This window comes from Homo sapiens, chromosome 8 (genome assembly GCF_000001405.40).
Source record: "Homo sapiens chromosome 8, GRCh38.p14 Primary Assembly".
Taxonomy (NCBI): Eukaryota; Metazoa; Chordata; class Mammalia; order Primates; family Hominidae; genus Homo; species Homo sapiens.
Genome location: NC_000008.11, coordinates 86,100,461 through 86,119,593, shown reverse-complemented (window position 1 = coordinate 86,119,593; position 19,133 = coordinate 86,100,461). Strand labels below are relative to the sequence as shown.

The 19,133-nt window shown below is 40.0% G+C and overlaps 1 protein-coding gene across 1 annotated transcript in view; it reads right to left on the bottom strand.

Moving 5' to 3' along the window:
* Positions 1 to 19,133, bottom strand: part of ATP6V0D2 (ATPase H+ transporting V0 subunit d2) — a 55,316-nt gene that overhangs the window by 34,632 nt on the left and 1,551 nt on the right. The window contains exon 2 of the mRNA NM_152565.1: positions 5,714 to 5,885. Within this exon, the coding sequence (NP_689778.1) occupies positions 5,714 to 5,885 (172 nt within the window). The remainder of the gene's footprint in view (positions 1 to 5,713; positions 5,886 to 19,133) is intronic.

Sequence of the window (19,133 nt, the reverse complement as noted above, 5' to 3'; positions counted from 1 at the left end):
AATAAGGATGCTTGCTTAATTAATGAATGCTAAGTTTCCTTCCATGTCTAAGATTCTATGATTAGGGCCAGGGGCAGTGGCTCCTGCCTGTAATCCCAGCACTTTGGGAGACCGAGGTGGGTAGATCACTTGAGGTCAGGAGTTTGAGACCAGCCAGGCTAACATGGCGAAACCTCATCTCTACTAAAAACACAAAAATTAGCTGGGTACGGTGGTGTGCACCTGTAGACCCAGCTACTTGGAAGGCTGAAGCAGGAGAATTACTTGAACCTGGGGGGTGGAGCTTGCAGTAAGCCGAGATTGCGCCACTGCACTATAGCCTGGGTGAGAGTGACTCCATCTCAAAAAAAAAAAAAAAAAAGATCCTATGATTAGGAAACAAGAAATCTGTGGGATCATCAGTGAGCGGAACCTTTGACCAAAGGACTCACAGCTGTTTTTAGAACTAGAGCATTTCCCAGTGTATTCTGGGCACATTGCCTTTATATGAGATTTGTTTCCCAATCCCAAAGTACAAACCCTGGCAGCTTTCTGATTCAGATAAAATTGGGCTGCCCTCTGTCACTGTCATGGTCAGATTTTCTGAACTCAACTAAAATCTGAGCAAAATAATTTTATGAAGCCTACTGCTAACAACTATTTCAAATCATGACTCCACCGCTCGTTAGATCTGTGATCAGGGCAGATTATTGCACTTAAGTTCTAGGTTCCTCATCCTTAGAATGGTGATGGTAAGAATTGAGTAAGACTTGTCAGGAGGGTTAAATGAGGTAATATTTGTAAAGCACTTAGCTTTCCAACCTAATAAAGTCCCCGGCATATTGTAATATTCTGTAAATGTTGTCTAGTATATTGATTGTTATTTTTCCTTCCACACAACTAGGGCCATTTTGTCCTTCAGCTCAGGAATCTTTACTGTTTCCATAATTATCCATGCCAGGTATTTTTGCAGGAGGCACCACTGCTTGCAGAGCCTCTCTCATGCCAGCTATTGAAGATTAGGTATGAATTTGGATCTGACTCAGCCCAAAGCCTAAGCACTTTCTACTTCCTCCCAACCATCACTGGGAGGAGGAATACGTTCTGTGAGTAATCCTGGCATCTTCTTTCATCTCTTTTACATTTTGGGTTTCTCCTTAAGGTTTTTACTTTTTAGGAAGGGCCTTGCAGATACCAACAAAATACACCACATATACACACAACCTTGAAAAATACTCTGCGGACAGGCGCGGTGGCTCACGCCTGTAATCCCAGCACTTTGAAAGTCTGAGGCGGGTGGATCACTTGAGGTCAGGAGTTCAAGACCAGCCTGACCAACATGGGGAAACCCTATCTCTACTAAAAAAAATAAAAAAAAATACAAAAATTAGCTGGGCGTGGTGGCGTGCGCCTGTAATTCCAACTACTCCTGAGGCTGAGGCATGAGAATCACTTGAACCCGGGAGGCGGAGGTTCACGTCTGGGCAACACAACAAGGGTGAAACTCCGTCAAAAAAAAAAAAAAAAAAGAAAGAAAGAAAGAAGGAAGGAAGGAAAGAAAAAGAAAGAAGAAAGAAAGAAAAAAAAAGAAAGAAAGAAAGAAAGAAAGAAAACAAAGAGAAAGAAAAGAAAAACACTCTGATGTGATAAGGCTCAACTTCCTTAGCCTGGCATCAAAGACTTTCCATAATCTGACTGGAGTTTGCGTCTCCAGCCTCGTTTCCCCACTTCCTCCTTCCTATATGGCACACCCACTCCAGCCAAAACTGAACTGTTCCTCACGCATGGAACAACCTTCCCATCTACATGTTTCAGACCCGGATGCTAAGGCTTCTCCCGTATTGCCAAATTCTACCGTATTTCCAGGCTCAGTAACATCAGCCCTTCTGGGAAGGTTTTCCAGAATCCCTGAACTGAGTCCTATGTAAGTCCATATCTAATCTCTACTCCTGACTAGCTGTATGTATATTTGTGAATTCTTAGAAAACATCAGCATCTGTGTCTTGCCTGTAAGTAACATGGAAGGAATTATCCTAACCCATAGCGCTGATAGGAGGACTGAGTATGGCAAACAAGAAACATCCGCACTAAAGTCATGCCTCAGGTATATCCACAATTCCTTCCTTCCTTGACCTATGGTCTTTTCTTCTACTTGCTTACTTACAGAAATGGAGTAGAAAGGGAGAGCTATTTGGGAAAACAATTTGAGCTAGATCTGTAGTCTAATTCTTTACACGAAAATAAATTCTAAAATGGACCAAAGTTTTAAATGTAAAAAATGAAGCAACATGTGTAACAACAAATAAATAGAAGAAAAGACAAGTGGGTTTATTTATGAATTTGGAGTGAAGGCCTTTCTAAACAGGGTACAATAAAATACCCAGAAGGCAATGAATGAAAACATTGATGAGTATAGCTAATTAAAAGTGTTCAATGTTTCCACAGCAAAAAACCACAAACATTATAAAAATTAAAATATATAACACAAAGAAAATAGTTTTGCAACATATATTATGAAGGGCTAAACTTTCTTAATTTACAAATAGCTGTTATATGTCATTAAAAACTGCTGAAAACTCTAACAAAAATAGACAATTAGGTCCTGTATCAAATCCACATAAATAATAAATATGAAATGATCAATTTCACTCCTGAAGAAATATAAATTGAAGCAAAGAGATACTATTTTTTTAACCTATTGGACTGGCAAAAATTAAAAAGAAAATATCCAATGTTGGTAATGGTAAAAGGACACAGGTCTTTCCACAGGTTGTTGTAGGGGGTTAAAATTGGTGCTACCTTTGTTGAGAACTTAGAAATATTTACTAAAATATAAAGATGCACATTCCTTTGACTCACTACTTCCACTGCTAAAAACTGAGCTTAGAAATAAGTTCAAGACCTGCATAGAAATAAGCTAATTGATCTACGGCCATACCACCCTGAACGTGCCTGATCTCGTCTAATCTCGTAGGAAATAAGCTAATTGCAAATTTTTTTGTAAGCGGAAAAAATAAAAATAATTTAGCTACTTGTCAATAAATGATTGGTAAATGGAGTCATGACACATATAGCCAATTCTATGCAGTTATTTAAAAAGTATGATGTTTTCCAGGCATGATGGTGCACGTCTATAATCCCAGCACTTTGGGAGGCCAAGGTGAGAGGATGGTTTGAGACCAGCCGGGGCAATAAGTGAGACTCTGTCTGTAAAAACAGAAATAAATAATAAAATAAAAAGAATGACAGTCACAAGCATATTTCTAAGAAATATTAAGTGGGAAAAAAGTACAGAAGGAATATGATTCCATTTGTATAAATTTGAAATGTGTGGGTGGGAGAGTGTGTAGCAATAGACACACGTACATGTAAGTATTTTTCTGGAATAACACATAAGAAACTGAGAAGTGGTTACTTTTGGAAGAGAAACTGAGTGGGGAAGAAGAGGAAATGTAGACACAGAGTGATATTTTTATTTTATGCTTTTCTGAACTCTTGAAAGATTGTAATCATGTCCCTTAATTACTTTTCTTTTTTTCTTAAAGATATTATTCATTAAGTAAAATTGATCCTCAGATTGTATGATGCGATGTGAAATTCCAAACAGAAGAGCCTTCCTTTACTTCTGCTCTTGCCCACTGTCAATAATAGGAAATTTGCATTGGTTTTCCTTTGTGCCAAAGGCCTAGGAATGCAGGTCTGTTTTCATGGAATATTTTCTGTTTGCCGTATTTAGATGCCAAGGAATATCTGCTATAGTGTGAGAAATCTTTCTGACTGACATATTATTTTCCCCTGAAATTAAAGGCATGTGTAGAAGTTAAGGTCCACTTAACTTTGTTCAGCTCAGCAAGTATATTTGGATATTCTTAGTTCCATTTTCTTGTTCACTGGACTGAAGGGCAGAGATACTGTCATTTGTAAAGTGGAAGAATATATGATGGAGGCCGGGCATGGTGGCTCACACCTGTAATCCCAGCACTTTGGGAGGCTGAGGCGGGAGGATTACCTGCGGTTGGAAGCTCGAGACCAGCCCAGACAACACGGTGAAACCCCCATCTCTACTAAAAATACAAAAATTAGCCGGGCATGGCAGCACATGCCTGCAATCCCAGCTACTTAGGAGGCTGAGGCAGGAAAATCTCTTGAACCACGGAGGCGAAGGTTGCAGTGAGCCGAGATCACGCCATTGTACTCCAGCCTGAGCGACAGAATGAGACTCAGTCTCAAAAAAAAAAAAAAAAAAAAAAAAAAAATGGATGATACGGAAGGACAAAGAAAGAATAGAAGGATAGAGGGAGTATCATCTTCCTGGTCAGATAAGCGGATTCTTTTCATTCCCTGCTCCTTGAGGCAGCGCCATCATTTTATCGTTCAACCAGACAGAGGCTGAAACTGCTCTGCTCTTTCAGAAGGAGTCTCTGCCCTCTATTTTTCCAGGCTTTCTCTTATTATATTTTCTTGGAATCTGCCTCTAAAAATCTTAGATTGTCTCCCAAAGCCATGCTTTCATACAGCCAACGCCCAGTTTCCTGTATTCGTATAACATGTCTCTAATTTCCTACTTCTAGTACTGAGCACAGTGTTTGACATGAAGTCCTGTTCTTTTGTTCCCCTTTGACTAATCTTTGGCTTATACTATGCAGCATTTTTTCATTGATATTTTCTTTCCACAAATATATTGACGCCTGAGTGCCAGGCACCAGACCTGGGCTTGGACCTAGTCTTCAGAACTTTGTGCTTTACATCTACATTTTATCTACATAACACACAGCTCATTTATTTGTGTGTCTTTGTTCCCAGTTTTTCAGCTAGGAGAGCTGAAAGGGCATAAGCTTATTTCAAATGGTCCATTTGAGCACTAAGTAAAATTTATTAATTGGTGTCATAAAAGTGCAGTTCACTATTATGTGGGAGTTCAATTTTTTTAATTTATTTTATTTTTGAGATAGAGTCTCATTCTGTCGCCCTCGCTGGAGTGCAGTGGCACAATCTCACCTCACTGCAACCTCCGCCTCCCGGCTTTAAGCGATTCTTCTGCCTCAACCTCCCGAGTAGCTGGGACTACAGGGGAGTGCCACCACGCCTGGCTAATTTTTGTATTTTTAGTAGAGATGGGGTTTCGCCATATTGGTCAGGCTGGTCTCGAATTCCTGACCTCGTGATCCACCCACCTTGGCCTCCCAAAGTGCTGGGATTACAGGCATGAGCCGCAGCTCCCGGCCCCAAATATTTTGTAGAATGAGGAGCTCATGTGTTGCACAATTGGAACCACAGATGATGGATAAAAATAAAACATATATAACTTTCACAACTGCTACTTATACTGTTACAAAGGGAATTAGGAGTGGTTTATGTGACCTTATGAATACTTTGAGATATTGTCAACCCCACCCTGAAAAGTGATCCAAGAATGTCACATAACATTTACCTTCAGTACTAACACCTTAAACACTGGCAACACTTTTTTTTTTTAAATGAAAACTGAAAAGATTCCTTTAGATGGAGGCCACCACCGCTGATATAATCATGTTTATAAATCAATGAAATCCATTTTCTAATGCAAAAATGTGGCTCTATGAGCTTATCAGTTGCTAAAATGTGAATGAATTTAAACTTACAAACAATGGAAAAGGTCTTAAGTCTCACTCTGGCTTGATACCCACCCTGTAATTGTTAGGGGTCATCCGCACGAGTACATTGGGGCTTATTAGGGCTTTCTGTCATCACTTACGTCATATAGGTGAGAAATGTGCTGAGGGGCTCCAGGGAATGATTCCGGAAATACTCAAATTCTCCACATAGTCTTTTCCTCATCTCAGTGTCAATTTTGGAAACAGTAAGAGGATTTGTGTGATTAGCCAAAAAGTTACCATAATCAGTAGTCTGGAGATGAATTTTCAGGTCTGAAATTAAATGAAACCCCAATTCAGGTTAAATTTTGAACATACACAAATAGCTTTTTCAACATTAGTTGAATTCATGCTAATTTTGTGTTACATACATATGTATTATCTTATTAGATTTTAATATAAGGTCTAAATATGATTTAGACTTGATCTGTAAAGCAACAAAAATGTTATGTGAATATGGATAATCCAGCACACCAGAAAATGTGTTTTTCTTTTGTTTTGAGAGGGAGTCTCCCTCTGTAGCCCAGGCAGGAGTGCCGTGGTGCGATCTCAGCTCACGGCAACCTCTGCCTCTTGGGTTCGCGCAATTTTCCTGCTTCAGCCTCCCAAGTAACTGGGGCCACAGGCGTGTGCCACTATACCTGGCTAATTTTTGTATTTTTTTAAGTAGAGACAGGGTTTCACCATGTTGGCCAGGCTGGTCTCGAACTCCTGACCTCAAGTGATCTGTCCACCTCAGGCTCCCAAAGTGCTGGGATTACAGGCAGGAGCCACTGTGCCTGGCCCTCACAAAATATTTCAATTACTAAGAAATCTGGTATTATTTAGCAGATCTGAAAAAAAAAAAAACCTAACAAACACCTAATCCACAGATGGCAAACAGGTTTTAGTCTTTTGGAGATAGCTACCTGGGAAACTGTTGAGGATACAAATGCTCCATCCCAACTTGATGGAAAAGATAAATGTATTAGTAGTAGCTACCATGGGTGTGGGGGCAGGTGGCACGGGCAGCCATCGGTGCTCTGTTTCAGTATCCTTTTATTACAGACGAAGAAATTGAAGTTCAGTGGGACTAAATGGTGGAGTTATCTAATGAGACTGAAGTAGGCGATTAGTCCCCTTATTCTTATAACCCAGCATCGTTTCCACCAGACCATGCCATGCATCCTTTAAATGTCATCCATTTTGGTTGCCAGGTAATTGGATTGAACTGAATTTCAGCTTTGTTGATTGTCACTTCCTCCTGAACAAACCATGTATTTTCTAGCATCCATACTTCAGTAAATGCTGACCCAACCCCACTCTAGAATTTCTTCCCCCACCCCTTTTCAGATTGGCTTATTATAATCTACACTTCAATGTTACCCTACTGGTAACATTAAAATAATAGTTACCAGTGATTGAGTGCTTATTAGGTACCAGGTATTGTACTGAACTTGTATTATCTCATTTAATACTCATGGCAATTTTATGAGGTAAAAATGATTTCTATGCCTTTGTACAGATAAGAACACTGAAGCTCAGAGAGGTTAGTAACTTGTTCAAGATCACATAGATTAAAAAATTTAAAAATCTCACGTAGATAAACTGTGATTCCAAGCCAGGTATTCCTGACTTCAAAGTCACTTAAAACTTTATTTTATTGCCAACTAATTCAATTAGATTATCACTTGTTCTGTAAAGATTTAATTATCTCAGGCAGAATTATTCACTCTCATGCATCTGAATTTGAAAGTACTCTGATAAAACCTCTAGCATAACACCTATTATAGGATATTATATAGTCTTAAGCATGTTAACCCAGAAGGCAGTTACACTATCTTAGTTATATCTTTTACCTGTGACTCCTTATGCAGAACCCAACATGTAAGTGTTATTGCATATCTGAGTATCTAAAATGTCCTTGGCAACATCCAGCACACATATGGAGCTTATTGGATCTTCCACTCAAACATTTATTAAGCATCTATTATGTGCTGCCAACTACAGGAGACCCAAAGATAGACCAGAAATATTCCTCATTCCCAAGGAAACCCACTGTTTGGTAAAGAAAGAGGCAGTCACAAATGATTCAAACAATGTGTTAATTTAGTGATAAAGATAAGGTCCTTGATTTATGGGAACATAGAAAATGAGACCCAGATCCATAAAGATAGGAGCAAGAAGCCTAGGAAAGTGTCTTGAAGGAGATGAGCCTTAGAATATTATGTAAGAGTGGAGGAAGAGGGGAGAAAGATTAAGAACAGAGGCAGGCATTCGATGACTTAGTACAGGTATGCTGTGTGCAAGGAGCTCAAAGCAGTTCAGTGTTGCTGAAGTATTAAGTGGGAGAGAAATAAATTAAAAATAGAACCCCCTATGATCTAGCAATCTCACTACTGGGTATATATCCAAAGGAAATGAAATCAGTATGGTGAAGAGATATCTGTACTCCTACATTCATTATAACATTGCTCACAATAGCTAAGACATAGAATCAAGCTAAGTGCCCATTGATGGATGAATGGACAAAGGAAAGGTGGTATAAATATACCATAGGATACTGCTCGGCCTTCAAAAAGAAAGAAATCTTTCATTTTGATAACTCAGAAGTAGAGAGTAAAGTAGTGGTCATCAAAGGGCAAGGAGTGGGCCAGCAGTGGTGGCTCATGCCTGTAATCCCAACACTTTGGGAGGCAGAGGTGGGAAGATCTCTTGAACCCAGGGGCTCGAGGCTTCAGTGAGCTATGATCTCGCCACTGTACTCTAGCCTGGGTGACAAAGCAAGACCTTGTCTCTACATTTAAAAAAAAAAAGAAAGAAAAAAAAAGAAAAAAACGACTTAGTGGGGGACAAGTGAGAGGGTGAGGGGTTGGAAAGATGTCAAAGGATACAAAACTCAGTTAGATTCAGTTAGGAGGAATAACTTCAAGAGACCTATGGTACAAAATGGTGACTATAGTAAATAACAATTTATTGTATTTTTAAAATCATGTAAAGAGTAGATTTTGTGTTCTCCCCACAAAAAATAAGTATGTGAATTCACATACTTGTTAATTCACTTGATTGATAACATGTAGGTCACATTGGGCAGGCTTCCAAATTTACCTGCCTGGCGGAGGTCTTATGATGCCAGTCCTGTCCTGTCCTGTCCTGTCCTATCCCAGAGTAAAGAATCTTACCGTGAGTCCCTCAAATTTTTAATGTACTGATTAATACATAACCTACTGGCACTGAAAAGGACACTGATTTGTTTCCAAATCATCAAGTTTTGGTGATTGGTTTCTGCATCATGAAGTTTACTGATTGTCTTGCACGTAGACATTTTAGCCTGTATATCATCTGTAGCCAGTGATTGTAACCTCTGTATTGTGACCTGCAATGAAAAGGACAACTCTAGTATGAAGAGTCCTCCTCTGTTCTTCTAAACTTTCCCTTAAAAGCCTTCCAACTCGCAGCAGACTCTGGGACACACACAGCTTTGTTGCTGTGTCTTCCTTGATCAGTCCTTACATTTGGCTTCCAATAAACCTTTACTGAACTATTTCTGCCTCAACAAACTTAATTTTGGTTGATACCACAATTAATACATATATTAAAACACCATAGGCTGGGCGTGGTGGCCCACGCCTGTAATCCCAGCACTTTGGGAGGCTGAGGCGGGTGGATCACTTGAGGTAAGGAGTTCAAGACCAACCTGGCCAACATGGTGAAACCCCGTCTCTACTAAAAAGACAAAAATTAGTTGGGTGTGGTGGTGTGCGCCTGTAATCCCAGCTACTCAGAAGGCTGAGGCATGAGAATTACTTGAAGCTGGGAGGCTGAAGTTGCAGTGAGCTGAGAATGCGCCACTGCACCCCAGCCTGGGCAAAGGAATGACAGACTCTGTCTCAAAAAATAAAATATAAAATAAAATAAAACATCATGTTGCATATGATAAATATATGCAATTTTTATGTGTCAATTTTAAAGGAGTGGTAGAGAAGGGGAGGTGAGAATTGAAGCCAAAGAAATAAGCAGAACTGTCCTAGGGAGGGTTTGGTATGCCATGTTTATCCTGAGATAACAGGAAGCCACTGCGAGCTATGAATGGATTGCTCTGGTAGCTGGGGGAGGGTGCACCTGCAATTAGGGACAATGTGGTTCTTGCAGTCTTCCTCAGTGTCTGGAGTAGATTTTGCATCGTAAATGCTGTTCATCTGACAGCAGAATTTATTTGCTCAATTACCTATTTAATTAACTTAAAACAATTCTACTTTGTTGCCATGCCTTATTTAGCTTTCATTTTGGCATTTCAGATTTTTATGCAACTTGACAGTTTGAATTCTCAGCACCAAGGAATATTTGCCAACAGAAGTGACACAAATGGTATTTCTTTCAAAACCATGATATTTTGCTCATGTGACATATGTTTCTTTCAAGCTAAATAACTTTCAAACCTTTCAGCTGCCAGGGACATCCTGAAATTAAATGTCTCAGTGTTTCATACCCTGTAGGAATCTTATAATACTGTAATCAGTGAAAAGTGGAATAGAAGGAACCTCTCTTCCCCAGCACTAAAATGATCCAAGGGATGCTTGCTTTCAGATTCCAAGAGAATCTGAGGGTCTGAAATGCACTCTGGGATGATGATAGACTGTCAATAATAACAACAGTACTCATAGTTTTATACTTTTCAAAATGAGTTCACTGAATTTTTTTTCCTACATTTCCCTAAATGCTTATCTAAATAGGTGTGTGAGTAATAAGACTTTATGGTAAAATAAATTTGGAAGGCACAAGCTTCTTTACTGTAGGAATTAAAAGCCTTTACTACATGAAAGTGATTTCTTTGAAAACAGTAAGGGACAGAACCTCCCAAGCCACTAAAAAACAATGGGCCGCCCACAGAGCACACTTGGGAAAATTACACTACTTTTTATCTAGAAAGGTAGAGTGGCAAATGGTGTTTTTTCCTTTTTATTAAAATAAGGAAAATAGAATATATTCCAAACTGTAGGATCACTACCAACTAAATCACTTTAATAGGTGCCACACAGCAATAGAATAAAAAAAATAGATTACACCATTTTAACAAATAGAGTCTATCACATAGTGTGAATGTGTGCCTGAATGTATGCACTGAGTCATAATATAAACATGCGTTTTCTGTGGGTTGTGGTCACTGCATGAAGGGAATTATCTGAGATCACTTGGCTATAGGGAAGTTAGACTTCATGGTTATTGTCTACTAATTTGTTGGCAGACTATTTTTAGAAAATTCCTTTTTGGCTGGGCGTGGTGGCTGATGCTTGTAACCCCAGCTACTCTGGAGGCCGAGGCAGGAGGGTTGCTGAGCCCAGGAGTTTGAGACCAGTCTGGGTAACATAGGGAGACCCCGTCTCTACTAAAAATAAAGAGAAGTGACTATCTACTGTTCTATCCAAGCAGCCCCCTGCCTTTCCCCACACTCTGCTGCTGCTGAACTTAGGGAAATTATCTGAATTTTCCGAACTCAGTTTCCTCATCTACAAAATGGATATAGTCTACGCTTTCAGGTTGTTTTGGGGATTAAACAAGGTTGTCTGGTACAGTGGCTCACGCCTCTAATCCAAGGGGTTTGGGAGGCCAAGGTGGGAGGATTGCTTGAGGCCAGGAGTTTCAGACTAGACTGGGCAACATGGCAAAACCCCAACTCTACAAAAGAAAAAAAAAGTTAGCTGGGTGTGGTGGCACATGCCTGTGGTCCCCATACTCAGGAAGCTGAGGTGGGAGAATTGCTTGAGCCTGGGAGGTGGAGGCTGGAGTGAGCTGTGTTCAAGCTACTGCACTCTGGCTCAGGAAATAGAGTGAGATCCTGTCTCAAAAAAGAAAAGAAACAAACAAACAAAAAAAGATGATTCAGGTAGGTAAAGAGCCAGCATAGAGAATCCACCACAAAATATTGTTTTTTCAATTGTACCCACCTATCTCCAAAATAAATTGCTAAGGAATTCAGCTTTTATCCTCTAAACCAGAATTTTTCCAACTAACATATTGGAATCAACCATCAAATCTGGTAATTACTCAGACTTTTAATAAATACACCGGAAGATGTACAACCAGACACTTCTTTCTCCATTTTTGCTAATATATTGCCGTTCTCAGGGTGTTGAAACTTCAAAGTCCTCTTTGGTGCTTTATTACTCCAAATGCCCTGCATTTCTTCCCTGATTTCTGCTGCTCACTCCCGTTTTGAATAACATCTGGCACTTCGATTACTGCAGCAATCTTTGAATCGATTTTCCCAGGCTCATTTCTCCTCATGTGCTCCCCGCCTCAAGTTTAATCTTTCCTAAGAATTGTTTTGGTACTGTAATGATCCTAAAAATAGCTTGCAGCCACTGAAAAGTTTTAGGCAGATTAAAAACAACTTTTATAAAATTTGTAGAGCGTTTTACCATTGCCAGAATGGTTTTAGTATACATAATCTCTTAACTTTAACAATAATCCTATTTCATAGATGAAGAAACTGAGGCTCAGAGAAGTAACTTGTTCCTGTTTTCCACGCTGGCAAGTAGTTAACTGAGAATCATACCTGACTCTTGTCCTCATTCAGTGTTAGCGTCAGGATCTTGAAACTTCAAATCAAACCTTCAAGGTTTTTCAGAGTTTTCCCAGCCTGAATTCCAGCCTTCTCTCCAAGTATTCTAGTATTGCAGCCTAACTGATATACTCCCCATCCACAGGCTTTTATTTTTTCCCTTTTTAAATTCATTTGTTTTATCTGCTTGCTGAATGTCCTGACATCTCAATTCTTCTCCTCCTGAAACCCCATTTCATGGCCTTTTATCAATCTATTATTCAAGATTTGGTTCACCTTCAAGTATATCTGCTATCAATAGGTTTGAACCATTTTTGGATTCTGAATTTTTATCTCATTTTACTTATTTGTGACATCCTATCAACTACACAGTTGTCTAGGTAGTAAATGGTGTCATTTTTTTTTTAGACAGATTCTTGCTGTGTCACCCAGGCTAAAGTACGGTGGCATAATCATAGCTCACTGCAACCTTGAACTCCTGGCCTCTAGCAATCCTCTTGCCTCGGCCTCCCAAAGTGCTAGGATTACAAACATGAGCCACTGCATCCAGCCTGTTCTTTTTTGTACTCTCCACAGCTCCAAATGCATTTTTTTGCCACATAAATGAGCCTCAAATATTAATTTGTGATTAAAACTTAAGATCCATGTAGCAGTGGCCCCACAGAACTTCATTATACAGTCCAGTAAATCTTACTAGGGTTGAAAATCTTCATTTTAATTTTTACTTACCAAAATAAATATTTTCAAAACTGGTGCTCTCTGAAGAACAGAATAAACTAAATGGATTCATATCCAAATGCCACTATCCAAAACCATAAAATGGAAAGAACTATTTCAGGAATTCCAAAGTCTAGCAGAAGAGGGAAAACAAATTCTTGTTGTATGTAAACTACAGTGCAGGGGTGTATTGTTAAGATTTACAATTTACAAAACATCTTCAGATATTTTGGATCCTCCCAGTGAACTGGGAGTTAGGCCACGGAGATACCATCTAAAGATGAGATAAGAAAGCACTTATCAGTGCTCACGCTTGTAATCCCAGCATTTTGGGAGGCTGAAGCAGGAGGATTGTTTGAGGCCAGGAGTTCAAGACCAGCCTGGGCAACAAAGTGAGACCTTGTCTTTGCAAATGACAAAAAAGTTAGCCAGGCTTGGTGACATGCACCTGTGGTCCCAGGTACTTGAAAGGCTAAGGTGGGAGGATCACTTGAGCCTAGGAGATTGAGGCTGCATTGAGCCATGATCACGCTACCCACTACTGCATTCCCTGGCTTGGGCAACAGAATGAGACCCTGTCTCAAAATAAAAAAATAAAAATAAAAAAAAAAAGCACCATGTTAAAGGTTAAGCACTTGCTTAGAATCCCAGAACCATAAAGCAGAAGATCCAGGACTTGAACCCAATATGTAGATATTTCCAGTGTGTATTTTCAGATTCTTACTACATGCAAAATACACTCTTAGGCTTAGGGAGGTAGGAGAGAGAAAAGTTTAAGGTGTACTTTCTGCCTTTAAGAAGTTTACAGGCAGCCAGGCACAGTGGCTCACGTCTATAATCCCAGCACTTTGGGAGGCCGAGATGGGCAGATCACGAGGTCAGGAGATCGAGACTATCCAAGCTAACACGGTGAAACCCCATCTCTACTAAAAATATAAAAAATTAGCCGGGCGTGGTGGTGGGTGCCTGTAGTCCCAGCTACTCGGGAGACTGAGGCAGGAGAATGGCATGAACCTGGGAGGCGGAGCTTGCAGTGAGCCGAGATCGCGCCACTGCACTCCAGCCTAGGCGACAGAGAATCCATCTCAAAAAAAAAAAAAAAGAAAAGAAAAAAGAAGTTTACAGGCTAGGCACTCGCTGGCTTACACCGGTAATCTCAGTACTTTGGGAGGCTGAGGTGGGCAGATCACTTGAGCTCAGGAGTTCAAGACCAGCCTGCGCAACATGAATAAACCCTGTCTCTACAAAAATACAAAAATTAGTCAGGAACAGTGGCCTGTGCCTGTAGTTCCAGCTACTCAGGAGGCTGAGGTGGGAGGGTCGCTTAAGTCCGGGAGAGGTAGAGGTTGCAGTAACTGAGATCATGCCACTGCACTCCAGCCTGGGTGTCAGAGCCAGACCGTCTTAAAAAATAAAAATAAAAAAGCTTGCAATAAGGCAGATAGAGCTATATATTTATTTATCAGTTAAGCCTGTAACTGCAGCAGCCTCTGGAGCTAGATAGACAAACGAGGCAAATGTTCTGCCTCAGGATGACACATCTATGCAAATGTCACAGATGTTATACAGGATTAGGTTCATTACAAGGTACCGTGGAGCTAAAGTTGAAGCTTGTCAATTCCATCCCATGATAGATTCTGTAGGAAGGGGCTTACAGAGGAAGTGACTTAAATGAAGACTTTAAAGGGAGATGGTCGCTTTCCAGGAACATGGGATAAGGGATGGAATTTGTGATTGAAGGTGCAGCTCTAGAAAAGGCAAAACATTCTGACGAAGGGCTTACAAGGTGGATCAGCCTTTTAAGCTGTCATTTATCATTTATCTTGCCTGATGGAAGCTCTTGATGTGTGTGTGTGTGTGTGTGTGTGTGTGTATGTGTTTTAAACAGGAGAGAATTGGATATGTCTTTTTAATATAAGGCAGAAAAAGTGCTATAATTAGAGGTACAAATAATGTCTAAGGAAGCAAAGAGAAAGCTCTTTGAAATCAGTCATCCTCCCATATGTTATTTTGAAATTAAAAATAAGTAATAGGTGTATATATGGGTAAACAGTGACAGGTCCCTATGCTTGTCACTCACCTACCCACCACCCCCTGCCACTCGTTCCTAGCTTCACGTAACCTCTATTTTTAGTTTCTTTTTAATCCTTTCACAGTTTCTTTGTAGCTAGGTAATCATATAGGAAGTATATTTTTAAAATTTATCCCACTTTTTACTAAAGAGTGCCATGCCACACCTGGTTCTTCCCCTTGCTTTTCTGACTTAATGTATCTTGGTAATCTTTCCATATTTCTCCTTTTAGAGTGCTTCCTCATGCGTTTTTCCTTTTAAATGCAGAATATTCCATTATGTGAATGTTCCATAACTTATTTAACTTATTCCTGGCTGGTTGTGGTGGCTCAGGCCTATAATCCCAGCATGTTAGAAGGCCAAGGTGGGAGGATTGCTTGAGCCCAGGAGTTTGAGAGTAGCCTGGGCAACATAAGACCCTGTCTCTATTAAAAAAATAAATTTTAAAAAATGAAAACTTATTTCCTGCAGAGGGACACTTGATTTGTTTCCATCTTTTGCTATTCCAAACTATGCCACATAAAAGGCCAGCCGCGGTGGGTCATGCCTGTAATCCCAGCACTTTGGGAGGCTGAGGTGGGTGGATCACTTGAGGTTAGGAGTTTGAGACCTGTCATGGCCAACATGGTGAGACCCCATCTCTACTAAAAATACAAAAAATTAGCCAGGCATGGTGGTGCACGCCTGTAGTCCCAGCTACTCGGGAGACAGAGGCACAAGAATCACTTGAACCCAGGAGGCAGAGGTTGCAGTGAGCCGAGATTGTGCCATTACATGCCAGCCAGGGTGACAGAGTGAGACTCTGTCTCAAAAACAACAACAAAAAACTATGCCACATAAAGAGCCTTGTATAGCTGTCATCTCACATGTGTGTAAGTTTGTCTATGAGACTTGGAATTCCTGGACAAAGTGTATAAGCATTTGGAATTTCAGTAGGTACTACCCAATTGCCATCCTTAAGGGGTTCTCATTTTTCTAATATTTTTATTCTCCAGGTAGGATCCTTTTTAGGGCAGGGACTCTATCTTGTTCATCTTTACTTTCTTGGCGCTAGCTAGAAAGTACTTACTAGATGGTGTTGAATTAATTCCTACCTGAAGACACTGCTGGAGAAGCTCTGAAGCTCAAGCCCCTTGACAGGGGGGCACCATTGTTAGTGAGATATAATCAGCTTCCCTAATTCCCTTCTAAACAAACTGTGTCAAGGACAAAGTAAAGACTTAATCCAGGCCAGCAGCTCACGTCTGTAATCCCAGCACTTTAGGAGGCCAAGGCAGGCGGATCACCTGGGGTTAGGAGTTTGAGACCAGCCTGGCCAACATGGTGAAATCCCATCTCTACTAAAAAAAAAAAAAAAAAAATACAAAACTAGCCAGGCATGGTGGCACATGCCTGTAATTCTAGCCACTTGAGAGGCTGAGGCAGGAGAATCACTTGAACTTGGGAGGCAGAGGTTGCAGTGAGCCAAGATCGTGCCATTGGAGACCAGCCTGGGTGACAGGAGCTAAACTCCGTCTCAAAAAGAAAAAAAAAAGACTTAATCCAGAATGACCTCCCACATCTTGAGAGCCAGTGGACACTGTTGTCATATGTTTTAGAAAAGATTATTTACTACTAAACTTTAAGTATTGATTTACTATTTTGTCTTTTTTGAGGAGGGAAGAATATTTCCAAAAGTCTTATTTGTAATTTTTAAAAATTCTGATGCAAGCAGTAGTGTTAGTTTTTAAAATATGCTCTTTTAAAGTTATTGTTTTGGTTCAAAGTCACTTTTAAAGACCCTAAAATTTCTTTATAGATACAACTTTAAAGCAATACCAGTGACAAAGGCAATGGGAACTAATTTCCTTCTTCTGTACCTAGGAAAGACTGAGTCACAGTGGATCCAGAGATCTGAATCAAGTCACAATTAGTCAGGGGCAGGCCTCAGAATACATGGGTATTTCTTACTACACTTAACCCAATTATGCACACAATTAAGCACAATTATGAATACTAACACTTTTCAAAGCTTTGCTGGATGATCTTTTTCTCTCTTCTAAATTTACCCAAAACCTTATTATGTTCCTTGCAAGTTGTTCTAAAACAATTTGTTGCTATCAGAACACTTTCCTTTTAAAGACCAGATGACTTAAAAAGACTGAAAGCAAATTTAATCTTGGCCAAGTTAGTTTTTCTTTTACAGAAAGTCCCTGCTTCAACATATAGTATTGGAATGGCACAGTGTAACCTGTTGTTTATCCATAGTTTGTATGGTGTATATTTTGTGCAAAAGTAAACTAAAATCCTTAAGCCTTTAGGATTCTATTCCAACAAGTTGATTTCTTCTCAGCTCTGAATCTAGCTTGGGGCAGACTGAGTCTCCTTAAGTACATTCACAGATGCAACAGTTGAACTGCTGTTCACACACTATTTATTTCTCAACATCCTATAAAATAATCAGGTAGAGCAGTCATTATTTTCTGTTTCAAAATGGAGTGGACATCAACTCCACACAGACCTATTCATATATCTTCAATTTATACTCAGGAGGCAATGGCATATTTTTGTGGAAAAGGAGACACAGATAGCTCTATCCATCCTCCATCACCAATAGCGTGTTAGGTGGTCACAGCCATTCTAAGCCCCAGTGTCCTCAACTAACAGAGGACATGAAATTCTTGTTTAGATTTGTTTTCTCAGCAGTCATGATAACCTAAACATGGTTTGATGATTCATGCTTGATATTTCTGGGAGTCTCTGAACAGTAGATTGGCACACAGATTCAAATGTAGTTGAGAATTGGGAAGAGAGAGAGTTAGAAATCATGAGACACAATGACAATAAAGCAGTAGAGCACAGGTGGGGTGGCTTCAGGTGGTTTCTCATCCCCTGACGCTGTATGGAAAATTCTGCATATGCCTGCTTATGTATGTTTTTCTAAACACAAGCTTTATTCTTGAGGTCTTTGAGAGGGATTGAAACCTTTTCTTCTGTCCCAAACTGAAAATGAAGATACCAGATTCAGCTAACTGTCTATGTAGAGGATAGATCTGTTAATCTCATTTCTTCCTCCTTCTATCTATCCCCTTCCCTCGACAAGTCTTTTGATTAAAAGGGACCTTGGCAGAAAATATAGGGTACAATTTTTAAATTCCTGATTTTTATCTTTTTACTTTCTAGAATTCTTTTTTTTTTTTTTTTTTTTTTTCCTGAGACAGGGTCTCACTCTGTCGCCCAGGCTGGAGCACAGTGGTGCAGTTACAGCTCACTGCAGCTTCAACCTTTTGGGCTCAAGCCATCCTCCTGCCACAGCCTCCCAAGCAGCTGGGACTACAGGCATGCACCACCATGCCCAGCCAATTTTCAAAATTTTTAGTAGAGACGAGGTCTTGCTGTGTTGCTCAGGCTGGTCTTGAACTCCTGGCCTCAAGCAGTCCTCACACCTAGGCCTTTCAAAATGCTAGGATTACAGGCATGAGCCACTATACCCGACCTATTTTCTAGAATTCTTTTTTTTTTTTTTTGAGACAGAATTTCACTGTGTCACCCAGGCTGGAGTGCAGTGGCATGATCTCAGCTCACTGCAACCTCTGCCTCCCAGGTTCAAGAAATTCTCCTGCCTCAACCTCCTGAGTAGCTGGGATTACAGGTGTCTGCCACCACATCCAACTAACTTTTTCTATTTCTAGTAGACACGGGGTTTTACAGGCATGAGCCACCTCTCCAGGCCTAGAATTCTTTATATGGCTTTAGATATGGCTTCCCTTGATTTATCTCTGAATTCTTTTTTTTGTTTCCTTCTTTTTTTTTTTTGGTATCACAAAGATATTTTATGTATTCCTTGCATTTAAATTTGCATTCCTTAGCTCATTTAAGAGCTTGGCTGAAAACTAAATAGAATTCATTAAAATGTCTCCTCTCAGAAACACTTAGTCAGCCCTGTGTTCTTTATTTTATGTAGATTTTCTATACGTGACCGACGTTCTCCAGTCACCAAACTCTTATTTTAATATGCTGAAGTGACTTAGGATTTGGGGTTTTACTGTAATTATTTGTAGCCAACAGAATTAGTTATCTAAAAGGTTCTTGCTGTTTCCAATGCTAATGGAAGTGCAGGGTTTGTCGTAACTTGGGTGGTTCTGTCTGAACTCTGGCTTTAACTGGTCAGAACTATAAACAAGTGGCCTCAGGACCCTTCAGCCCTAATTGA